Source organism: Homo sapiens, chromosome X (assembly GCF_000001405.40).
Source record: "Homo sapiens chromosome X, GRCh38.p14 Primary Assembly".
Taxonomy (NCBI): domain Eukaryota; kingdom Metazoa; phylum Chordata; class Mammalia; order Primates; family Hominidae; genus Homo; species Homo sapiens.
In genome coordinates, this window is record NC_000023.11 from 120603529 (window position 1) to 120625051 (window position 21523).

Sequence of the window (21523 nt, forward strand, 5' to 3'; positions counted from 1 at the left end):
ACAGGATGCTCAATTAAATTCAGCTAAACAAGCGCTGTATATTTTTAGTGTAAGTATATCCAAAATATTAATGAGGTATACTTACACTAAAACAAATATTCATTGTTTACCTGAAATGCAAATTTAAATAGGCATCCTGTATTTTCATTTGCTAAACCTGGCAATCCTACCAGCACTTTAACATGAAGCCATGAGGGTTGCCTGGATTCATGCTGGTAGGTAAGCACCAATCCATTCGGTTGCCTCAGACAGGACAGAAACCATTCCCTCTAAAAAAATCGTTTACTTTGACGATAGGTAGCAACGAAGCACGGAAGAATCTTGACCCTTTGAGGAACCCGTAACTGACGCAAGTGCCATAAATGCTACTTTGATTGATTCTCCGCCCCCTCCATTCTTCTCTTCCTGCAATTGCTCTATCACTTCTTCCCTCTCAAGTCCCGCCCTTTCAGCTACCTCCAACTGCTGAGGAACCGGTTGCCTAAAAGGAGCCGGCAAAAGCGCCTACGTGGAGTCCAGAGGAGCGGAAGTAGTCAGATTTGACTGAGAGCCGTAAAGCGCGGCTGGCTCTCGTTTTCCGGATAACGACTACAGCTCCGACTGTCAGTGCCGGCCTTCCTCGTGTGAGGGGATCTGCCGGACCCCTGCAAATTCAATTTCTTTCCCATTCCGGGCCCTTCCCTATCGTCGCCCCCTTCACCTTGGATCATGTTCAAGAAGTAAGGACATGCTGTGGCCTCCATCGGCTGCTCACAAAGGCGGTGGGGTGGGGGTGGGGAAGAGGGCGAGAGCTAAGATCCTCTTTCTCTCTCCCCCGCCCCTGCCATCCTGACTCCCTAAGGTTTTCTATAGTACTATGCTCTCACTCCCAACTTGAACACTTCTTTAAGCTTTCCATCCGTAGTCCTTAATTGGGTTTCAGTCCCTCCACTCCCATTGTTTTTTCTCCTTACCCCTCTTTCTCTTTTGCCCCCTCCCCCAATTCTGTCTCCATTCCTAGGGTTCTACCAATCACATCCGTGCACTGTGATTTAGAGGCATATTCTCTGTAGCTGAGAGGGGAGCCCTGCGCTCACTGCCATATGTTTATTAGTTATGAACTGAATAAAGGAAGGCTTGACTTCCTGGGTCATGGGAGTGAAGGAGTCTGGGTGACAGGAAGCAAGCGGCCTGTCATGCCTATTGCCTAGCTGCCAGATTAACCTTGCCTTGAAAATAACGATTGCCCCATAGGCTATTCAGTGTAAGGAAGACAAAAATTCCTTGGGAACCTACTAGTGGGTTTGCCTTCCAGATTTGGTAGACGCAAAAAGCAAAGGGGGAACATGGGCAAAGGAAGGTGGGTTTTGTGCATGAAATTTTGAGCAAAAACGAATAGGGATCTTAGAAATCATTATTATCATCACTTAAAAAAAATCTCAGCAGATTACATAGCCTAGCAGGGGCCGATTTTCTATGTTATGCTTGGGTTGGTCTTTTGTATCTCAAGAATTGAGGGTTTTGTTTTCTGATCTCAGGTTTTATTATTGGTGGGAGCCTGTGTTTCTTCCTGGGTAGAATTGAATAAGATTTTCCAGGAAAGGCATTTGTGTAGCTAATTACAGATTATGGTGCAAAGTATGTCTCATATTCCTCCCCCTAACCCCAGCTAATTGCTGTATACTTGACAGTTTATTTCAATATTGTATTAAGACATTGGTTTTGTGCTGGACAGAGTAAAAGGGAGATGGTATTTTTTTTTAAAAGAACAATTTATTTCATAATTAAGTATCTAAATACTTGGTTGGGAATAAATGACTAATTAGAACAGTACCTTTAGGTATTCTGATACCTCTACTTAGAAATGCCTTTTCTTTTCTTGCAAAAATTACTTGGCAGATTTGATGAAAAAGAAAATGTGTCCAACTGCATCCAGTTGAAAACTTCAGTTATTAAGGGTATTAAGAATCAATTGATAGAGCAATTTCCAGGTATTGAACCATGGCTTAATCAAATCATGCCTAAGAAAGATCCTGTCAAAATAGTCCGATGGTAAGTCTTTGTTTTTGTCTGTGTAAAGCTCGGTATAGCTGAATATTTAATGATTAGATTGCACTCATACTAAATGGAATTATTTTCAGATTAACTATTGATAGATTAATAATGGGGTAGACACAGAATAACTCTAAAACTCCAATATTTGTATTTTCAAAGATTTTCTATGTCCCTGAAAAAATGTGGCTTTGTGTATTGATTGTTCTAGTAAAGAGTTAAATGTTTTAGTTCAGAGTTGGATTTAATTTATTTCAGTTTGTTGTTTAGAGAATTGTTTTATTGAATTACCTAACAATGGAATTAATAAAATGTGAAATAAAATTGGTTGTAGCAGGTAATATTTTTCTTTTTTTCTCTACTGGACTTGCATGATAGGAAAAACAATGTAAACAATATTTTTTGGCCAGGATTTTTACTGACTTTTTAAGAAAGTTTATCACTGTATATGCGTGTTTTATATTGTGAATTTTTGAAAGAAAATATCTAACTTGGTACTTTGTGACATTTGTCTTACAGCCATGAACATATAGAAATCCTTACAGTAAATGGAGAATTACTCTTTTTTAGACAAAGAGAAGGGCCTTTTTATCCAACCCTAAGATTACTTCACAAATGTAAGGTTTTTTTATTTTTATTTTTTGAAATTTTACTCCTATTGCAATATTCAAATGTAAAGTCTTGTAAGAAATATGCATTTAATCAGATAAGACACTGCTGGGGGAGAAAAACAGAAATATGCATTTGGGAATACTGAAAGACACAAAAAGAGTTTAGAGTGACTTCTGATAATTGACTCATTATTTATTAGTACTAGGTAATAATGGATGTAAAACTAAAATGAATGCCCATCTTGTGGTAAATCTGAAAAATGCAGATTCTCTCATGCATTCCAGAAAGCCCAAGAAAGATCATTTATTAATTCATTCAACAAATATTTATTGCCGGGCACGGAGGCTCACGCCTGTAATCCCAGCACTTTGGGAGGCCAAGGCGGGTGGATCACCTGAGATCAGGAGTTCGAGACCAGCCTGGCCAACATGGTGAAACCCCGTCTCTACTAAACATACAAAAGTTAGCCGGGCGTGGTCACAGGTGCCTGTAATCCCAGCTACTCGGGAGGCTGAGGCAGGAGAATCACTTCAACCCGCGAGGCGGAGGTTGCAGTGAGCAGAGATCACGCCATTGCACTCTAGCCTGGGGAACAAGAGCGAGACTTAGTCTCAAAAAAAAAAAAAAAAAAAAAAAGACAAATATTTATTGAACTTACTATGTGCTAGGCATTCAGCTAGGTGCTGAGAATACAATGGGAAGCAAAGACATTGTCTCTGTCCTTAAGAAACTAATAGTCTAGTTTGGAGAATAAACAACAATTAGATAATTACGCAAATATGTATTTACAAACTGTGATAAGCATTGTGAGCATTTTCATCTTTTATATTTGTATCTATTTGCCTAATAGAGAAAAGTCTATATATGGGAAAGCATTGACTAAGTGTCCTTCCGTCCAGGTATTTCCTGTGATGTGTGTAAATGCATTTTTTTTTAAAATTGGGCTCTCTGTTACATAGTTTTTAAAAATTGATACGTCATAGCTGTACATTGTCTGCTGTTGTGGTGCCTGTATCCCCCACCACCTATATATATTTATAATAGTTGTACATATTTTAGGGGTACATGTGATATTTGATACCTTTATACAGCGTGTAATGATCAAATCAGGGTAATTAGGGTATCTGTCACCTCAAACGTTTATCTTTGTGTTGAGAAGATTACAATTCTTCTAGCTATTTTGAAATATAGAGTAAATCATTGTTAAATATAATTTCCTTATTGTACTCTCGAATACTAGAACTTATCGACCTGTATTTTTATACCCCTTAACCAACTTCTCCTCATCCCCTTGTAGTTTTTTTTTAAATTAACAGGCTTTTATTTTTTAGAGCAGTTTTAGGTTTCCAGAAAAAGTAAGCAGAAAGAATAGAGTTCCCTCTCCCCAGTTCAGATTCCCCTATGAATAACATCTTGTTTTGGAATGATACATTTGTAACAATTGAACCAGCATTGATACATTATTATTAACGCAAGTCCTTAGTTTACATTAGGGTTTACTCTTTGTATTCTACAGTTTTATGGTTTTTCCCAAATACATGTCAAGTATCTACTGTTAAAGTATCATACAGAATGGTTTTACTGGCCTAACATCCTTTGTGCTCCACCTATTCATCCTTCCTCCCCCCACTTCCCCAACCCCAGGTAACCACTGATCTTTTTAATCGTTTTTTTACTCTGCGTTTTTCACTTAACATTATATCACAAAAATTTCCCAGGGCATATTAAGTAGTCTCCAAAAACCATAGTTTTGAAATTACGGTTTTTGGAGAATACTTGGGATGCTGAGGCGGGAAGATTGCATGAGTCCAAGAGTTCAAGGTTATTGTGAGGTATTGATTGCTCCACTGTACTCCAGCCTGGGTGGCAGAGCAAGACCCTGTCTCAAAAAAACAAACAAAAAAGATTACCAATTTGGTAAACAAATGATAGTGTTTCAGAGTTTTCTTTTGTATCTGTCAGATTAATTTGGGGAAATACTGTTCAGATCCTTTGCCTTTTTCTGTTGAGTCATTAGTCTTATTATTAATATATTGTATATCTTTTCTTACAGATCCTTTTATCCTGCCACACCAGCAGGTTGATAAAGGAGCCATCAAATTTGTACTCAGTGGAGCAAATATCATGTGTCCAGGCTTAACTTCTCCTGGAGCTAAGCTTTACCCTGCTGCAGTAGATACCATTGTTGTATCCTTCCCAGGCTAAAACTGCTGAAAAATGTATTCATTGTGCTCTTATCATTACTGCGAAAGGTGTACCATCCAAGAGAACATTAGATGTACTTTTTTGAAGGTTACTGTTACTCTTATCTCATGCCTTTCTGGTTACATTTGAAGTTGTACAAAGTAATTTTATTTGTTGCTACTAAATTATCTCATCTTAGGTCGTTTCTTAGAAGTTAAATGAGAACAAGTTACAGAAGAGTCTCAGCTGCATTTCAGCCCAGTCAGGGCCTACTGTTATCAGACTTAGGACACAATAGGGAATTCTTGATTACTAGGGGAAAGGATATAGATGATATAATTGGATCAGCTTTTTGGATATCAACTTGCCACTGTAATGTTCATTTTGACTTACTGACATACGTTGGAGTGAAAGCTCTCAAAAGGGAAAAGAATTTAGGCACCAGGTATAGGTATCTCTTACCAAGCAACAATTTTGTGTTAGGAGTGAATAGTGGGAAATATTGGCAACCTCCAACTTTTATTTTGAAAATTAATTATTTGAAAAGTTGAGTTTGGGGGCCTCAGAGCACGTTTTCTCAAAGAGAAATGTCAGAGTCCCAGATGGTCCTTAAAGATCGATTCAACTCATGACATAGCTGAATAATTCTGCATTATTTCCATTTCTACCATGCTGTTTCAGCTATTTTCTGGATTAAATAGATTTTTGTGACTATTCTGGACAGGAGAACATCTTCTCCTTTATCATAGCTAAAGTAGCCATTTGCCTCGGGTATAGAAAAGGAATGGTACTTGGTGGGAATAGGGAAACTACTTTTAGAGTGTGTTTATCTTATTTTAGTTTTTGAGATGGAGTCTCGCTCTGTCGTCCAAGCTGGAGTGCAGTGGCACGATCTTGTCTCACTGCAACATCTGCCTCCTGGGTTCAAGCAATTCTCCTGCCTCAGCCCCTCGAGTAGCTGAGGTTACAGGCACCCACTACCACGCCCGGCTCATTTTTGTATTTTTAGTAGAGACAGGGTTTCACCATGTTGGTCAGGCTAGTCTCAAACTCCTGACCTCAGGTGATCCACCCGCTTTGGCCTCCCAAAGTGCTGGGATTACAGGTGTGAGCCACCACACCTGGCCAGGGGTGTGTTTAAGAAGAATAAGAAAAAAAAATGATATTCTCTGTTGGGGCAGTTATAGCGAAGAGGTAGTATAAGTAGTATGTTTATATTCTAGGAACAGCTTATGTTGACATGCTTTTTGCCTAATAGGTGCTCACATATTTGGAACACTGAGTGAATTGAAAATCAAGGGAGAAAAGTGAGGACGGGTTTTTTGTTGTTGTTGTTTGTTTTTAATATTTATTAAGTGTTGGTAAATTTATAGTTCTGGAGTTAACCTTAAATGGAAAATTTCCTTAGTACCTAGTCTTTACTTTTAAAAATAATTTTTATTTTGAAACAGTTACAGATTTAGAGAAAGTTGTTAAAGAAAATGGTACAGAGAGGTCTTGTGTACCCTGAATCTTGACTTTTTAAAATATGTACTGCAGTGTTTAACATTCCAGAAACTTCATATGTTAACCAAGACCACTCTGGTTTTTCTAGAAAGGTTGAAACTGTTATATCAGGCTCTTAAAGATAGACTGGGAATTTACCTATTATTTTAAAACAGCCTTTACATAAAACCACCATTCAGGCCGGGTGTGGTGGCTCATGCCTGTAATCCCAGCACTTTAGGAGGCTGAGGCGGGCAGATCACCTGAGGTCAGGAGTTCGAGACAAGCCTGGCCAACATGACGAAACCCTGTCTGTACTAAAAATACAAAAATTAGCTGGGTGGGGTGGCATGCGCCTGTAATCCCATCTACTAGGGAGGTTGAGGCAGGAGAATTGCTTGAACTCAGGAGGCAGAAGTTGCAGTGAGCTGAGATCATGCCACTGCACTCCAGCCGGGTGACAAAGCAAGACTCCATCTCAAAAAAACAAACGGCCGGCTATGGTGGCTCACGCCTATAATGCCACCACTTTGGGAGGCTGAGGCAGGCGGATCATGAGGTCAGGAGTTCAAGACCAGCCTGGCCAACATGGTGAAATCCCATCTCTACTAAAAATACAAAAATTAGCTGGGTGTGGTGGCACACGCCTGTAGCACCAGCTACTCGGGAGGCTGAGGCAGGAGAATTGCTTGAACCCGGGAGGCAGAGGTTGCAATGAGCCAAGACTGCGCCATTGCACTCCAGCCTGGGCAACAGAGTGAGACTCTGTCTCAAGAACAAACAAAAATCCCCACTAGTCAGTGATCAGAATAATTAATCAGAACAATTAATATTTATTGATTTCACAGTTTTTAGTATTTATGTGCAAGAAATTTTACTCCTTTTTTGTGTGACTTATTCTGGTTTTGTTAGCATGGGGTTATAGTATTAACATTTGACTTGAAAGAAAAGGGGTTATTAGATTTATTCATTTAGCATTTACTGAGTATTTACAGTGTACCCACAGACTCTGCTAGGTCTCTGCTCTCAAGGAGTTAATGGTCTAGGAGAAGACACAAGAGGGGTTCCAAGTGGCTTAACTAGTAACATGATCATTATTTGACACCCTTCCCTTGATGGGGAGGCCCCAAGGCATTTTGATAAATAGTTTTCTTAGCTGTGTTCTTTCAGGCTATCATGGCAGAAGGAAAACAGCATGCTCTATGTGTTGGAGTCATGAAGATGTCTGCAGAAGACATGTAAGTCTTACTTTAGGCCCCCTTAACTTTTGATATATGGGTAACCAACCCAGGAAGCATCAGAATTACAGGTGAAATTTGCTATCATGCATACCACATTACACAAATATCCAAGCACAGAAGCTTCATTTCTGATATTTCCTAACACTTAGGAAGCCAATGAAACCTATTTTGTCTTCAGGATTGTAGTCTTTCTTAAGCACTGAAAAGAACCCATGTGCCAACACAGCTGTTTTATATGTGTGTACGTGGTACTTTAGGAATCTTATTTAGTATCATTTAAATTGGGGGAGGAGGGAAGATGTTTTACTGCTAGCTTCATTTTATTTATTTTTATTTTTATTTTTTTAAGTTTTTTTGAGATGGAGTCTCACTCTGTTGCCCAGGCTGGAGTGCAGTGGCGCGATCCCGCCTCACTGCAACCTCTGCCTCCCAGGTTCAAGCGATTCTTGTGCCTCAGCCTTCCAAGTAGTTGGGATTACAGGTGTGCGCCATAATGTCCAGCTAATTTTTGTATTTTTAGTAGAGATGGGGTTTCACCATGTTGGCCAGGCCAGTCTCGAACTCCTGACCTCAAGTGATCCACCCACCTCGGCCTCCCAAAGTGTTGGGATTACAGGTGTGAGCCACTGCACCTGGTCATTACTGCTAGTTTTAAAAACAGTGATATATCTCACCACCACACAGTATCTTATATCCTGACCTGGTAATACAAGAAATGTAGAATATTTAGAGAACTAGTAAAGATATATTATCAAAACATAGGCAGTATATTTAAAAATTTTAGAACCCATTTGATGACCAAATTAGTGGTATTAATTTTGTTTCAGGGTTAATGTAGCACTTTGATATTCCCCTAGTCTTGTGACATTGTTACTCTGGTTCTATAGACCCACTAGTTAGATCACTAAAATCACTTTTAGATATGAGCTGCCACAGAGTAATGTAGTTTAATATAAACAACAATGTAATTGTGATGTCAATAAGTTCTTTACTTGTGGCTTAATAATTAAAAAATAACAATATACTTTGAATTATATTTATCACGAGTAAGACTATAAAAATGCATAAAAGTATGTTTATGTGTTTTTTTTCCTTCTACAGTGAGAAAGTCAACAAAGGAATTGGCATTGAAAATATCCATTATTTAAATGATGGGCTGTGGCATATGAAGACATATAAATGAGCCTCAGAAGGAATGCACTTGGGCTAAATATGGATATTGTGCTGTATCTGTGTTTGTGTCTGTGTGTGACAGCATGAAGATAATGCCTGTGGTTATGCTGAATAAATTCACCAGATGCTAAAATTCTGTTAGCTTCAGAAATTATTTTAAGTTTTCTTAAACTCAAGTTAAAATTGGGTAGCAAACTTGGACATTAAAAGGTATCTGGTAAGTAAGCAAACTCATACAACTAATGTCCTTTCTTAGGCTAATGATATAAGAGTGAAGAGCAGGACTTGGTCAATGGATTGCCATTTTATGGTAGACCTCTAGAGAAACTGTCTAGTTAAATGGGGCTAGAAACTAGACTAGGAATTTTATTCTATTACTCCAGGGGACCCAGCAGTGCTCATTCTCGTGTGTGTGTGTGTGTGTGTGTGTGTATGTGTGTGTGTGTGTGTGTGTGTGTTTTGTTGATTGTTTTTTTAAAAAAAACTTCAATGGAAAATTCTAAACATATTAAGAAGTCTGGAGAATAGTATAATGGACCTCTCCATATCCATCACCCAGTTTCAGTTTATGGTCAGTCTTATTTCATCTATACCTCAATTATTTCTCCCCACCCCCCAATTATTTTGAAGCAAATCCCAGACATCCTATCATTTCATCCATAACTACTTTATTCTTTTTTTTTTTTTTTTGAAACAGGGTCTTGCTCTGTTGCCCAGGCTGGAGTGCAGTGGTACGATCTTGGCTCACTGTAACCTCCACCTCCCGGGTTCAAGCGATTCTTGTGCCTCAGCCTCCTGAGTAGCTGGGATTACAGGCACGTGCCACCATGCCCGGCTAATTTTGTATTTTTGGTAGAGATGGGGTTTCGCTATGTTGGCCAGACTGGTCTTGAACTCTTGGCCTCAAGTGATCCGTCCCCCTCTGCCTCCCAAAGTGCTGGGATTACAGGCATGAGCCACCGTGCCCAGCTAATTTTTATATATTTTATAGTTGGCCAGGCTGGTCTTGAACTCCTGGCCTCAAGTGATCAGCCTCCCAAAGTGCTGGGATTATAGGCATGAGTCACCATGCCTGGCGTCATAACTACTTTAGTGTGTATCTTTAAAAATTAGAAAAACCCCACAATACCATTATCACACCTAAAAAGTTGAACTGTTTCTTAATATGATCAACTGTCTAGACTGTTAATTCTCTTTAACTGTTGGTTTGCTTGAAATAGGTACCACACAAGGTTCATACATTGCATTTGGTTGTTATTTATTGAAGTCTGTTTAATTTATAAGTTACCTTTTCTTTTCCCCCTTAAATTATTTAAGAAATCTAGTTGTTTTGTCTTTAAAGTTTCCACACATATTCTGGATTTTGTTGATTGTATCACTGTGAAGTCATTAACTTGTTTTTATGCCTCCTGTATATCCTGTAAACAAATAAGATTGATCAGATTCAGGTTCAGTTTTTTTAGTGCCTTCTTTTGAGTAAAGTCATACCAAACAGATGCCCAGAACATCTGGATTTGGGTCCCCACTAGACTCCTTAAATAATGTATATCTTCTATAAGTGGAATATGAGGGACATGGACCTGCTTTAGTAAGAACAGTAATCTGTTTGGGGAGTTAAAAGAGCAGTTGTGGATTTATTTATTGATAAAGACCATTTTTCTTCCTAATAACCTTGCTGTTATTCTAGTGTCTTAGCCATCTTCATTTGGTTGTTTACCAATATATGACATGTGATTTTATTTTTCAGATGGATACAGACATATACAAGATTGTGGTGACCTGTGTTACAGTTAGAAGTTGGTGAGAAAGGTGAGGGTGGATAGCAAAAAGAGAGAGATCATTTGGCTGGCTGTTCCAGCTGGGTCTCCCAGGATGTAACATAGGTGGACATAGATCCAGGGTCTGACCCTCAGCTTGAGAAACCATTTCCCACTGATGAAACTTGAGAGACTTGGAGATTCCCCAGTTAGAATATAAATGTATTAATTCATAGTGATAGGTCTGCCTATGGTAAACAATTAGGAAACAGGAAGTTACTTGGTAAACACAGGTATGAGCAAAGGAAGATTGATAAATTGGGGTAATATTTCAGTTGTGCTGAGGTAAGACTTGGAGAATTTTTCCTGCTTCATCATTAATTAGAATGCTTATCTCTGCCAAAATCTCATCTCTTTCCTAGCCCATAGAGGTGCCCTGATATTTTATTTCCTATATCCTTTTCAAGTTCCATGTAGTTTTCCTTATGTTATGACAGTTTTATTCTGCAGCTTACCATATTATTTATTCCTGGTCCACGAAAGTATAAATAGTCTCATCAGGAACTCATTTGTAAGTCATCTCCCAGGGGGGTTTCTTCAACAGATAGTTTAATTTTTTGCTGACTTACTGGCTTCAAATTCAGATGTCTCCCTATTTGGGGGAGGAGGCACCCTATTTGAGGCCTGTAGCTCCTTATGTTCTTAAAAAGAATATACAAGTCATTTATGTCAGAATCAAACTTTGAACCTTTATTTTTGTTGCTAAGAGAATGTTTTTTGACCAAGACTGCCTATGGAGTATTAGCAATGAAAAACAAAGCACACATATACATACATTAGAGAAGTAAAAACTTTTAATAGCTTGGTTTTTGAAATAATTCATCTTTGTGTCTAACCACTGTTACAGTGGGTGTAAGGAACACTTTTTAAATATTCAACATCAACATCTGTGCTTGTTTTTCTACTGTGCTGAGGTACACTGTGTTGCCTTGGTGATATGGACTAAATATGTATGTTCTCTGCTTCCCCTGGGTCTGAGGCCTCTGCTCATCACTGTTAATCAGGGATGTCACTCTACATGTGTGATCCTTGTCATTTTCTAAACATTAGGTCATACATGAAAGGCAATTCAAAGAGATTAAACTAGCAGATGTGTCAGCATCTTTAGATACTGTGCTTAATGGAAACTTAGTTTACCTATATTCGTGAGAATAGGAATACAGGGATAGAGAGCCTGCTTCTCTCAGGCAGTGTGTCTTTAGTTCATTTTTAGTTTCAAAATTAAGTTTGTGTCAAACCAACCTACAATCTAGTAACTTGTGTATTGGACTCACTTTTACTCAGACAAGGTCAGTTCAGCTCAATAGGTATTTATTGAGTATCTACTAGGTTCTAAGTGACGTGGCATGAAGATGAATAATACAGAAGTAGCCCTTGCTCTTAAGGAGCTTCCAATCTAGTGAGTAAAGAAAATTTACATTTTAAATAATCTGGGTAATGGTGACAGCCCAATACTAATATGTAAAGCCAGTAGGAATGTACTAATCCTTTTCCAATTTTAGTCATCAAAAATTGTAAATTACAAATGAACTAAATGTAGTAATATTCCATAGATTGTATCCAATGTGAGGGTAAAAAAAAAATCCCAGATGTCTTGGAGTTGCCGTGATTCAGCATCCCAACTCAGATGATTGTCCTGTTGTCCGGTGACATAATGGCCTGATCAGTTCTCTTCTAGCAGACTGTCTGTTATGGTGGTTTGGTAGTGGTCTGTTGGGAAGCTGCATTTTTCCTTTTCTGTTTTTATGCTCTGGACCCCAAACAAAAACAGCTGGATTTATCCCATGGGTAGTCATGAACATTTCCAATTTGAGGGATTTTATATTCCCCAAACAGAAGGTTATATGGCATATATCAAATAATAATGATATCCAGCCAGGTTCCCTGTCGTACCCAAATCAGTAACTGAAGATACGTATTTCTAAGTATAATACTTCAGAGGAAGAGATAAGAATTACAATTCACTAAATTCGTGGAGGTGTTTCATTATAATAAATATGTCACTTATTAATAATGTAGCAATTATATATTAATGGAAATATGAATGTATGCCCAAGCAAAATGTCATAAATATTTTAACTTTGTTTGTCTAGGTTCCTTAATTTTGAGACTATAATTATCAAGGCTCTTCAAGAAACTCAAAATGATTCTAATTTCTAAGTAGTATGCATTAAAACTGATATATAATGAAAGAAAAACAGTGAAAATGTATGCATCAGTTTCTAAAGAAATCATACTTGTCATTGTAGAGATGCATGTAAATTAAATGTATTATACATTTTTATACTTGTATGTATTTTATACTTTGTATGAATACTTTTATTACACTTTTTAAGGCAGGTAAAAGAATGAGTAGATGTTATCAACTATAACAACAATTTGTTGAATACTGTGTTAAAACCAAGTAAAGGACCACAACTCCACGAGATCAGGAATGAATGAAGAAAATTGAGGGCCAGTTTTTAAATCATTGTTGAGACTATTAGGTTCATCTGTCTGTTTAAGAGTCTGGCCTTAGGGAATATAATTTATGCATGTAAAAAAATACAGGAGATGATTCACTGGAATGTCTCTTAATAATACCATGTTCATTAAGAATAGGTCATTGGGAGGAAAAATAAATAAAAACATCTGAACTCATTAGTATAATTAATACTTGCCTCTTAGAATGAAAATTAAAGAACTCCAAATTTTAGCCTTGAATACTTTGAGAAATAAAAGATGAATTAGTGAAATAATTTCTACTTAAAATCTTAGTTGTTACAGAGAATGACATGCCTCACTATTAATGTCCAATTCTAATTAATGGATTGTTTTAGAAATGTATTTGTGAAATATAGCAAACATAGCTAGTAATACTAACAGGTGAAAACTGATATTTCAAATGACTAAATAGACTTAAGATTAGAGGAAGGTAGGAAAAGGTGTGCAACTAACAGAAGCAGTTAACCAAAAAATGAGCTTCAGGCATCAGTCTTATTTGGAAGACTGTAAATCAACAGGCTAACGTTCAAAATATGGCAGACATCTTAATATCAATATATGCTAAATTGGTTTATCTTTAGGCAGAAACAGAAAGCAAAAAATTAAACTCATCCAACTCATACATTTGTTGTTGTTGTTGTTGTTGTTGTTTTTGAGATGGAGTCTTGCTTCATTGCCCAGGCTGGAGTGCAATGGCACGATCTCGGCTCACTGCAACCTCTGTCTTCCGGGTTCAAGCGATTCTCCTGCCTCAGCCTCCCGAGTAGCTGGGATCCCATGCGTGTGCCACCACACCTAGCTAATTTTTGTATTTTTAGTAGAGACAGGGTTTCACCATGTTGGCCAGGCTGGTCTCAAACTCCTGACCTCAGGTGATGCACCCGCCTTGGCCTCCCAAAGTGCTGGGATTACAGGTGTGAACCACCACACCCGACCCAACTAATACATTTTTAAAATCCCATTTTAAAAGTAAAACCACAGTTTTCATATAACAAATGTTATTGCTCTTCATTTCATTCTCCAATTTTAAAATGCTTTACTTTCAGCCAATATGTGAATATAGGAGACTTCAAAAGCATAATCAATTACTCCCTTAAAGTTCATTGTAAGTGTTCTCAGAACTCTACCACCTAGAATTTAAAGACGGGAAGATTTACTTTATAATTTTAATTTCTTATCACAAGACTCGATTGTCAATAACTGTTAACGTCCATTTAATAATCTATGGTGAAATAGGTAATTTCTTCTTATTTTCACAAGCGTGTGAGTAAAAGACTGGGTTTTAAGCAATAAATCATTTGTTCTAACTAAGCACATGCTTGGAAAAAGTGCTATTTTTCCAAACGTATGCCTTGAAAACAAATACAATTCAATTGCCTTTTTGGTTCATGGGAAGCCATACTGCGGTGGCTTCCAAGGTTGGCCAACCTGTTTTTATTCTTACCACCTCTTTCAAAAAGGGATGTTGTCTTTGTCCCCAAATTCTGGTGTTGTCCTATGCTGATGCATAATGAAGCCCTGAGGCTTGGAAACTTGCAAACCAATAAGATGATTTAATGATGAAACGGCATGTCAGTTTGACACTGTCTATTAATAGTCCTTGAGTGAGCTTAAATTTGAGACACTTTTAAAAGCGGCATGTAGTTCCAGTTTTGCTTCCCTTATCAGTGGAGCTTGAGATGTCTGTTCCTGCCGACTGATGTTTTAACAAATTTTTAGTTTCTCATGATGTGAAAGATTTTGTATGCACGTCTTAGTCTGGATACTGTTTTCATTAGTTCTAATGCTGCTGCATGCAAATTTTGTTTAAAACCAAAATTGACTCTTCACATCTGGACTAGATTGGACATGGTGAGGAGGCTGGAAGGAAAGTCCTTTTTGCTCTGTAGGCTCTGGACAGCTTTCTTAGAGTTGACTTATCCAGGATTAAGAAAAAGTTTTCTTTTGCGTGACTAAATTCTTTCCACAGTTTGCTTGTGTAAGCATTTTAGATTTAAGCAAGTTCAACTTGAAATATATTTGAATATGAAGTAGAAACAGCTTCATTTAATGGGATAATAGCAATCTCTAACCCATCAAATTAATATCTACTAAATAGCTTCCAAAAAGCACTGACTGGAAAATATTTTTCACTATCATGGCTTTATTCAGTTTCAAAAACAGTAGGGGCTAAAATGTTTGGACATTTATCCTGCATTTATTTTGTGTTTCACAAGGTTAAAATTTTGTATTTTGTAAAGTGTCTGAAAAGGAGTCCACAAAGTATTTCTGCTTTCTTGCTCCTGAATGCAAAGGTCTGAGAGAAGGCACATCCTCATTAGCTTCTGGGTGTTGTCAAACCCAATCCTCTCTCAAGTACCAAATGCCCAGATACATTTATTGGGATGCAGGAATCTCACTTAAGTAGCGGTTTTTGCTGATATAAAGACAAACATCTTGATTAAAGTGTAGGGAGATAGAAACTATACCAATTTGGGCAATTTTGGCTCTAATGTCTAATTTGTTGTGAAAGGGGAAGATGTTCTAAGCTAATGTTCTTAAAAGTAACTTATGAATTTCTTAAAAATAGTTTTTAAAAAGCTGTTTCAGGAAAAGCTGTTTTATTGCATGGCACAGATTAAATGTACAGATGTTATCTTAAAACAATGAAAGAGTTCCCCTAATTTGAATATTCAATACCAGCTGTTATTCACATCAATATTTTAACATTTTACCATCAAGATATTTAATACAAAGGATTGATACATATTTAACTGTTTAGAATTCTAGTTAAACTTGTCCAGATGAGTAAGAGGGAAGGAGAAATAACATTCTCCAAGTACCTACCATGTGCACAAGCTCTACTTATATATCTTGCTTAATCTTAGCAATGATTCCATGAGGTAGATTTTAACTCTCATTTTACAAACGAGGAGACTAAGGCTCAGAGAGGTCATACAACTTCAGGAAAGTTGTATGACCTCTCTGAGGTAATAAATGGCAGAACTGGAATTTGAACCTAAGTCTCCTTGTCTGCAAATCCTGTGTTTTGCAGAAAACTCTCCTCTTGTATTTCATAAAATGTTAAATCTTGGCCCAAATTCAAATCACCATCTTTATGGGTTATTGGAGAGAGGTATAAGTTGGCAAGACTCTGTTCCACGATGGGAAAAAATGGGTAGGATTTGAATGAGTAAGAGTGGGATACTTGCACAGTATCATATTTGTGTGGCTGGAGTAATGTTTTTCTGTTTCCCTCTTAGCAAAGTGGAGTGGGAGAATCTTGAAATTGAACTCAGTCCTGAGGTCTGATTTTCCTATTATTAGTCACTTTCAAGCCAGGTGATTTGTGACCATTTAAATGTTATGCTATTTCAAAGTCTTCTACATCTTTAGAAAAGGACATGAGGGAGGGTTAGTTAAGTGGGGCAATGAGAATGTAGAGTGTAATGTGCAAAAGCAGGACTAGCAGTTGCTTTGAAGATATCTGGGGAAGGCCGGGCACGGTGGTTCACGCCTGTAATCCCAGTACTTTGGGAGGCCAAGGTGGGCGGATCACGAGGTCAGGAGATCGAGACCATCCTGGCTAACGTGAAACCCCGTCTATACTAAAAATACAAAAAATTAACCGGACGCAGTGGTGGGCGCCTGTAGTCCCAGCTACTCGGGAGGCTGAGGCAGGAGAGTGGCATGAACCCGGGAGGCGGAGCTTGCAGTGAGCTGAGATCGCACCACTGCATTCCAGCCTGGACAACAGAGCGAAACTCCGTCTCAAAAACCAACCAAACAAAAAACAAAAATTAGCTGGGCATGGTGGCGCGTGCCTGTAATCCCAGCACTTTGGGAGCCAAGGTGGGTGGATCATGAGGTCAGAAGATTGAGACCACCCTGGCCAACATGGTGAAATCCTGTCTCTACTAAAAATACAAAAAAAAAAAAAAAAAAAAAAATTAGCCGGGCGTGGTGGCGCGTGCCTGTAATCCCAGCTACACAGGAGGCTGAGGCAGGAGATTTGCTTGAACCTGGGAGGCGGAGGTTGCAGTGAGCCGAGATTGTGCCACTGCACTCCAGCCTGGGCGACAGAGCAAGACTCCGTCTAAAAAAAAAAAAAAGATATTAAAATTAATGACAGGAAGAGTTTGGGTTCAGTTATAATTTAAGGGAAAAAACATTGAGGGGCCTAATCTACATTTTGCTCCGGATCCAATGATTTAATTTTTGGGAAGAAAAATCCAGTGATTAAAGTCATGCAAGGAGATGGCCTGGGGCTTGCTAAAAGTCAGGTTGCAGTTTCCATTGCATTCAAGAAAATCAGAAAAATAAATACAACTTTTAGAAGAAACTAAGTTTTCTCCCATTCATGTTTAGCTATTGGGGGGTCTCATACTTCTGGACTTGCTTAGACCTATGCTATCTAATATGGTAGCCTCTGCCCATCCATATGTGGCCACTGAGAACTTGAAATGTGACTAGTTTGAATTAAGATGTGCTGTAACTAAAATACACCCTGGATTTCAAAGACTTAATAAATAATGTAAATTATCTATTCTTTCCTGTTGATTATATATTGAAATGATAATATTTTGGATATGTTTGGGTTAAATAAAATATATTACTAAAAGTAATTTCACCTGTGTCTTTACTTTTTAAATGTGACTATTAGAAAATGTGAAATTAAAGGCTGGGCGCGGTGGCTCACGCCTGTAATCCCAGCACTTTGAGAGACCGAGGCGGGCGGATCACGAGGTCAGGAGATCGAGACCATCCTGGCTAACACGGTGAAACCCCGTCTCTACTAAAAATACAAAAAATGAGCCGGGCGCGGTGGCGGGTGCCTGTAGTCCCAGCTACTCGGGAGGCTGAGGCAGGAGAATGGCATGAACCCGGGAGGCGGAGCTTGCAGTGAGCCGAGATTGCGCCACTGCACTCCAGCCTGGGCGACAGAGTGAGACTCCATCTCAAAAGAAAGAAAGAATATGTGAAATTATATATGGCTCATGTTTTATCTATTGGACGGCGATGGGTTGGAGAAAAGGCAGTATTCCCTGAAGCTTCGTGCTAGAGGCAAGTGCTTTAAAGTGGTAAGTATGAAAAAGATTCTCAGTGCCAGCATTCAGTCTTCCATCAAGCCAGGAAGTTTTTCCCTCTTCCCCTCAGATGGTACAGGGGTGGTATTTTGACTATTAGAATATTTCCATTAATTCAACACTTTGGGTAACTAGGTGGATGTCTGTATCATTCACTCACTAGATCAAAGCATTTTTTTTTTCTAATGGAAGTCTGTCACTCATTAAAGGCAGTTATCCTATTTATCTCTCTAAAACCTGAGTCTTATTTTTAAGTCCTGCTCTTTCTGCTAGGGTTTTTGCCAAATTTCCAAAGCAATGGCATAACCAATGTGGCTATTCTTGCATGTAATCAGTAGAAACCTAAAGAAATGGGAACTATGTGGGTTAGAAGAAATAGCATTTATCAGGCAGGGCGCAGTGGCTCATGCCTGTATTCCCAGCACTTTGGGAGGCCAAGACGGGTGGATTACTTGAGGTCAGGAGTTTGAGACCAGCCTGGCCAACATGGTGAAATCCCGTCTCTACTAAAAATACAAAAATTAGCCGAGTGTGGTGGTGTATGCCTGTAATCCCAGCTATTTGGGAGGCTGAGGCAGGAGAAACGCTTGAACTCGGGAGGCAGAGGTTGCGGTGAGCCAAGACCGTGCCACTGCACTCCAGCCTGGGCAAAAAAAAAAAAAAAAAAAAGCATTGATCAAATCCAGGAATTTTAAGACAAAAGGGCTGACCACTATATTCTAGTACTACATTATTAAATTACAGTTTGTCTTATTGCTCATGCAAAGCTTATGTGAAATGATTATTTGACTATGATGAATTATGAGTTTGGGCTCTTTCTGCTTTCCACAAAGTACCAGGCCTACTGCCTACTGTTGACCTCATAGATACCCAATATATACAAAGAAAATTATAGTGTATGGATGCCACACTAGTAAAGCTGGATTTTTTTTATTATGGTAGAGACCCTAGAGATACACTATGTCATCATTTTATACTTTCCAAACAAGTCATTTTCCCATTACCCTTTAAATGCTTTATAGTATTCTATTTTTGGTTATATTAGAGTTATTGACTATAGTTATTTTTTGTCATTTTTTTCAAACTTGTAAAAACTGTCAAGTATAGTTATTTTTAAAATTTGGGGCAATATTTTTTTGGGGGGGAGTTGATAAACATTGCTGAATGTCTTTGTATGCCAAAAGAAAGCTAACTTCTATAAACATATGCTTCTCACATAACCACTCAGGCAAGTACTGAGTGCATCAAAGTCAGCCCATACCAAAAGGAACACAATATTGTTTTTTTTTTTTTTGAGATGGAGTCTCGCTCTTGTCCCCCAGGCTGCAGTGCAATGGCACGATTTTGGCTCACTGCAACCTCCACCTCCCAGGTTCAAGCAATTCTTCTGCCTCAGCCTCCCGAGTAGCTGGGATTACAGGTGCCCGCCACCACGCCCAGCTAGTTTTTCTATTTTTAGTAGACACAGGGTTTCACCATGTTGGCCAGGCTGGTCTTGAATTCCTGACCTCAGGTGATCTGCCAGCCTCAGCCTCCCAAAGTGCTGGGATTACAGGCATGAGCCACTGTGCCCAGCCAGAACACAATATTCTTAACAAATGAAAGGGAAATTAGCGGTACATCATCATTAGACTATATTTTCAGCAACTTTTCTATTACAGGTATGCCCTGCTTTAAGAACACCCAATAACTGAGTTTGTTTAAATGCATTATAGAAAAATCTGGGCATTATGAATCAGATTTGATACACAAGCAACCTTTTAGCTTACTCCCCTGCCAGCCCACCGCCCCAGAAAATAGCCAAGGGGTCTAAATCTATATTTTGCTCCAGATCCAATGTTTTACTTTTGAAAAGGAAGATTCAGTGATTGAACTCACACAAGGCAATGGTCTGGGGCCTGCTAAAAGTCATGCTGTGGTTTCCATTGCATTTGAGACAACCAGACAAACAAATACAACTTTTAGAGGAAACTTCAAGTTTTCTCTTATTCACATCTCAGCCAGGAGTGGGATCTTACACTTAGAATTGCTTAGACCTGTGCTGTCCAATATGACAGCCACTAGCCGTATGTAGAGTATATTCACAATCCCGATCAATTTCCATCAGACCTCCATTTTTTCCAACTCTCTCATCATGAGTGGGGTTAGGGTTATTGTTTTCGGTTACTGAATATATTATTTTTCTATGTAAAGCTAACAGACATATATGGTGATCAAATCTGTAACCACAACCTCAGTAGTACTATTTTCTGTTATTGATTCAGATTTTATCTGCAAGACTGGCTGCAAGTAAGTTCAGAGAGACAGCATATTATTTGAGACACCTAACATTTCGTTAAAAAAATACTCAGTATCGGCCGGGCGCAGTGACTCACGCCTGTAATCCCAGTACTTTGGGAGGCCGAGGCGGGCGGATCACCTGAGGCCAGGAGCTTGAGAACAGCCTGATCAACGTGGAGAAACCCTGTCTCTACTAAAAATACAAAATTAGCTGGGCGTGGTGGCACATACCTGTAATCCCAGCTACTCGGGAGGCTGAGGCAGGAGAATTGCTTGAACCCGGGAGGTGGAGGTTGGGATGAGCCGAGATCACGCCATTGCACTCCAACCTGGGCAACAAGAGCGAAACTCCGTCTCAAAAAAAAAAAATATGTATAAAGATACAATCAAGAGCATCAATTTGGCTTAAAAGGCAATGTTACCTTAGTACTCATTAGCAAAACACACAATGCAATGCATTCTGACATGTTTATGATGATACTCTGATGTACTAATGTAAGTGAAGATGATAAATGCAATAGAAAAATTTTAAATATACTGGTGTTGGGGGCAAGGTGACAGATAAGCTGTGTCACACTCTGAGAGATACTGTTTATTACTGTACTCACATTGAACATGATTTGATTGTAGTAATTGCATCTGAGACCACATATTAGGGGGCTTCATAAAGGGGTTTTGTTATTCTTCAAAACTAATAACGCTTCATCTTAACCAAAACCCTCAATGAGAATAATCAGAAATAAAGCAAAGTTTTACACACTACCCTGAGGATCAATAACTTCAAGCCCAAGGCCATCTTAAGGAAATTTTCTTTCTGGTTTGCTAAAGCTGTGGGAGACCATTACCATCATGAGGCCAGTTACAAGAAATATTGATCTCTAAAATGTCATGCTCTAACACTCTATGCGGACTCACAGCATGTGCTGGCCAGATTGCAGAACAAGTCAGCTCTAAGTATTTCACACATTTATCAGTACAGGAGCTATTGCATTTACCACTGGATTAAGTTTCTGAGTAGCCATTGAAATTTGGGAAAAGGTATGGTAATGCAAAGTAGATAGGTTAGGACCTCCACACTGAAAACAGATATGGTACAGCTGTGAACATGGGAAAATTCCCTGAACTTGTACAAGGAAACAAAATCCAGAAC

At 38.6% G+C, this 21523-nt stretch overlaps 1 protein-coding gene across 2 annotated transcripts; it reads left to right on the forward strand.

Annotated features, from left to right (window-relative positions):
• The first annotated feature begins 572 nt into the window (after positions 1 to 572).
• On the forward strand, positions 573 to 17631 carry MCTS1 (MCTS1 re-initiation and release factor). 2 transcript variants are annotated; one of them, NM_014060.3, is made up of 6 exons: positions 573 to 719; positions 1879 to 2031; positions 2551 to 2648; positions 4697 to 4830; positions 7483 to 7550; positions 8655 to 17631. In NM_014060.3, the coding sequence occupies exons 1-6, from the start codon at positions 709 to 711 to the stop codon at positions 8734 to 8736; spliced, it is 546 nt and encodes a 181-aa protein (NP_054779.1). In that variant the 5' UTR covers positions 573 to 708; the 3' UTR covers positions 8737 to 17631. The 2 variants fall into 2 exon arrangements, with proteins under 2 accessions (NP_054779.1, NP_001131026.1); NM_001137554.2 differs by lacking the exon at positions 573 to 719 and adding an exon at positions 1171 to 1339.

Excerpts from the sequence above, each read along its gene's own strand:
- MCTS1 (NM_001137554.2), top strand. Across the intron at positions 2,032-2,550 it reads CCTGTCAAAATAGTCCGATG|CCATGAACATATAGAAATCC; the intron begins GTAAGTCTTTGT and ends TTTGTCTTACAG. Across the intron at positions 2,649-4,696 it reads CCTAAGATTACTTCACAAAT|ATCCTTTTATCCTGCCACAC; the intron begins GTAAGGTTTTTT and ends CTTTTCTTACAG.